We start from the raw sequence: 4065 nt of genomic DNA, 5'->3' as shown, positions 1-4065 counted from the left end.
GCTGGAAGAATGGTGTTATGTGGGAGGATGTGGGGAAACGTACCTTTAACTCCTGATTCCCACTGAGCTTCCTGTGTAAGCACAATCCTATTAGATTCATTCTCCCCTGAAGAGACTGTATCTGCCTTAAATAAAGACCCTTTTTTTTTTTGAGACGGAGTCTCGCTCTGTTACCCTGGCTGGAGTGCAGTGGTGCGATCTCGGCTCACTGCAACCTCCGCCTCCTGGGTTCAAGCGATTCTTCTGCCTCAGCCTCCTGAGTAGCTGGGACTACAGGTGCATGTCACCACACCCGGCTAAATTTTTTTTTGTATTTTTAGTAGAGATGGGGTTTCACCATATTGGCCAGGCTGGTCTCGAACTCCTGACCTCATGATCCACCTGGCTTGGCCTCCCAAAGTGCTGGGATTACAGGCATGAGCCACTGCACCCCACCGAGAGTGATTCTTTTTAAGGGAAGCCAATTTTCATCTCTCCCATCCCACTCCTCTATCTCCAAACCTACAACTGTCTTATGTACCAAGCACTTTATGCGTTTTACAAATATTAATTCATTTAATCCTCCCAATAACCCCATCAAGTAGTTACTATTATCATCCTTATTTAACAGATGAGGAAACTGAGGCTCAGAGAATTTAAGTATCTCTTCCAAGGCAACACAGCTAGTAGGTGGTAGAGATGGCTTCTGAACCCAGGAGAACAACATGCTCTTGATTCACAACACTATCCTCCCTTCCTTCCCCACTCTGAGTGATCTGGTATTTCTTAATTAGAGCTTTGAATACATGGAGGAAGTGACGGAATGAGGGTACCTCCAGGCATTGAATAAATGAAGAGAGTCAGACATCAGAGCATCTTTTGCATTGTTTATAGATACCATCCTTTATTAAATGCACAAGAGAAAGAAATGAAAGGAAGATAAAATCTGTCTCTTCGAATCTGAGTCATGGATGAATTTTTGGATCAATTTTCACATGCATATCACACCCCTTGAGCCATTCAGATAAATCATGGCCAGAACAGTGTAGCCTCCAAGAAGTCCTGGGAAATGAAGGAAAGGAGAGAGGATGAAGTGGACAGGTTGATGGGGTGGCAGTGACACTATCCCTGGCTGCCCATGGCCTGGGCCATCCCCATGAACTTACCAGGCAGAAAGCCCATTCTGTGAGGACACAATCTGCTTGGCACACCTGATGTCATCCAGAATATGGCGATTGAGCAGGTCTGAGGGGGAAGAGAGGGACATGGTGGTCTGGTGCACTGGGGATAGGATAACAGTGAATGGAGGGCCCAAGGGTTTTGGGTTCCTTGGGGCCTGAAGAACCTCAACCACTATGTTGACTGATTCTTGATGACCTTGATTCTCTTGTCAGTTGGTTATGAATGATCTTAATCACCATGTTAGCTGGTTCTGTACAACCTTAACTCATGTTGACTGATCCTGGATGATCTAGATTGTCATGTTGGCTAGTTATGAATAACCCCAACCTCCATACTGTCTGGTCCTGGACAACCTCAACCTCCATTTGGGCTGGCCCCAAATAACCTCAGTCTCCATTTTTTCCTGTCTTGGACAACCTCAACCACCATTTTGGCCAACACTGAACAACTTTAACGGCTATTCTATTTTGTCCTCAACACCACCAGTCTTATCTGGAAAGTTCTGTCATTTCTGCATGGAGGTTATCTGTTTCTGTTTCTAGAACCAGACACTCTGCTTCTTTCCTCGGGGCCTGGGTAACCTCAACCCCAAATCAGGACAGTTTCTAACTCTGTTCCACATGGAGGTAAGTTTCCTGTTTCCTGAGTCTAAGAAAACTGCAGTGTCCATTCTGGGTGAGGATTGGGAGCTCTGAGCTCTTCTGTCCTAAACAACCTCTCAGGATAGTCTGGGTAGGGGTAGAGGATGGTGTCTTTAATAGCTCAGGCAACTTTTCTCCTTTTCCCATCATTTTTCTCTTGTTGCAGGAGATTATGGCTTAAACAACCTTGCCCTCCATGTGTGGGAGAGTAGGGCCCAGCAGGGCTTCAGTGGGTCCCCAGTGCTGACTTACCATGACAATCCATGTGGCAGAGGTTCTTGGTGGGTGTAATGCCATTGTCACACCACCAGGCAGAATTCAGTTGGAAAATGCCATATTCACTGCTGCCATCAGGATTGTGGTCCACGAAGGCGGTGTCAAAGCCACTCTCATAATGAGCCATGCACAGCCCTGGGGCAGGGAGAAGGGAGGCAGGGAGTAGGTATAGAGCTTGGGAATAGGGAAGGATAGGATGGGGGGAGGACAGGGATGGTTGTCATCTCAGTTGTGAGGGTGGTGATCTTGGTTTAGTGGTGGTGATGTTGGTGATTCTGGTGAGACATCAGTGATGGTGGTAGCGATGGTATTCATGATGGTAACAGTGGTGATGATATTGATTGTAGTGATGGTGTTGATGGCAGAGATGGAGGTGATGGTTGTGAAGGCAATAATGGTGGTGGTGTTAGAGTTAGTTAAACTACTCAGCATAGTCAGTCAGGGAGTGACTCAAGGGATCATGCCCAGGCCTGGAGAGGTGATAAAGGACAAGAAGGGGCCTGGGTCTGAATGTGGCGGGTGGCTCAGGGTTTGGATGGGATTTGGGGCAACTGGATTCTCACAGTCTCCAACGCCGTAGCCCTTGTAGCCGTTCAGCCCTGCTCTCTCCAGTCTTGCCGCCAGCTCGCAGCGTTCATAGATCTTGGCATCCACAGTGACAACCATCAGCGTGGCCAAGGTCACTACCACAGTGCCCCAGGCCTTCATTATGGCACCTGTAAGCCCTCCCAGGTGACTTGCTCCAGACTCACCCTGTGGTGTTCGGAATTAGGGGCATTCTGGAACTCTGGGCTCTATGAGCAAAGGTCTAAGTGGTAGATTCTGGAACGCGCAACACAGAAGCCTCAACATCGCCCAACACTGTTGCATTGGGGATTAAAGGCCCCACCTCCCAACACTGTTGCATTGGGGATTAAGTTTCTGACATCTGAATTTTGGAAGGCACACATTCAAACCATAGCACTCATCCTTGGTACCTTGTTCACCTCTCTGCACTTAAAGTGCTGTTCCATCCTAATTTACTGGAATGTGCCCCACATTTCATATTACAAATGGCATATTACATATACATTCTTATGCTTGACTGCTTTTTCAACTTCATTCTCATTCTGCCTTTTGTTCCTCCATTCACTTACACTGCCTTTCAGCCACTTATATTCACCCATACTGGGCCTCATATTATCGCAATTCCTCACAGTCTACTTAGCATTACCCAAATTCTTTCATGTCATATTCCTTCTTCACCCCACTCACTCTCACTCAGACTCATTTCCTATCTTTGCCTCTATTTCCCGCCCCTGCATCAAATGACTCTGGCTTACTCGCACGTGGCCCAGCCTTCAGCTTCTTTCATTGACCCGGGGCCTCATTATTTCCCCCCTTCACTCCCCCTCTGCCCCTCCTTCACCTCTATTCTCTCAGATGCTGTCCCAGGAACACCCCCATTTCCTGGAGCTCTGTCCCTATTACTCCCAAACACTAGCTGAAGTTACCCACATATACTTAGCCTACGCTAAGTGAGCCAAGATCGCACCACTGCACTCCAGTCACTGTTCTTTCTCAGTTTTCTCTTCATTGTTTCCATTTACTCTTACTCTGCCTCTCACTGCCTCATTCCTTTAAATCTATTCCCACTGTAACCCCTATCACCCTCTTCTTGCTCATATTCTGCTCCTGATTCATGGCTGCCATTCTGCCTCCCAGTACCCGCATTCTGTCACGCTGTGCCTCAAATTCGTTACTTTTGCTCACATCGGGCTCCCCATGTTTCCTCGCTTTACTCACCCGAGGCCATGAAGCCTTCATCCACTCTCTGCCTCACAATACCCACGTTCACCCATCCTCTGCTCTTCACTTTCATTCCCTCTCACTCTGCCCAACATCACCTCCATTCATGTGCACTCTTCAGCTCATTCACATTTGCCGATTCCCACTGGGATCCCTGTGCACCCACGTTCCTGGGCTACTACCCTGTATAACGCCCATG

The 4065-nt window shown here is 47.8% G+C and overlaps 1 protein-coding gene across 1 annotated transcript; it reads right to left on the bottom strand.

Moving 5' to 3' along the window:
- Positions 1-853: 853 nt before the first annotated feature.
- SPACA5B (sperm acrosome associated 5B) lies at positions 854-2848 on the bottom strand. Its single transcript, NM_001079900.2, has 4 exons — positions 2642-2848; positions 2055-2213; positions 1146-1224; positions 854-1041 (listed from the first exon to the last, which is right to left on the bottom strand). The coding sequence occupies exons 1-4, from the start codon at positions 2784-2786 to the stop codon at positions 945-947; spliced, it is 480 nt and encodes a 159-aa protein (NP_001073369.1). The 5' UTR covers positions 2787-2848; the 3' UTR covers positions 854-944.
- Between the last annotated feature and the right edge of the window lie 1217 nt (positions 2849-4065).

The sequence above is a fragment of the Homo sapiens genome, chromosome X, assembly GCF_000001405.40.
Source record: "Homo sapiens chromosome X, GRCh38.p14 Primary Assembly".
Taxonomy (NCBI): Eukaryota; Metazoa; Chordata; class Mammalia; order Primates; family Hominidae; genus Homo; species Homo sapiens.
This window is presented reverse-complemented; position numbering and strand designations above follow the sequence as displayed.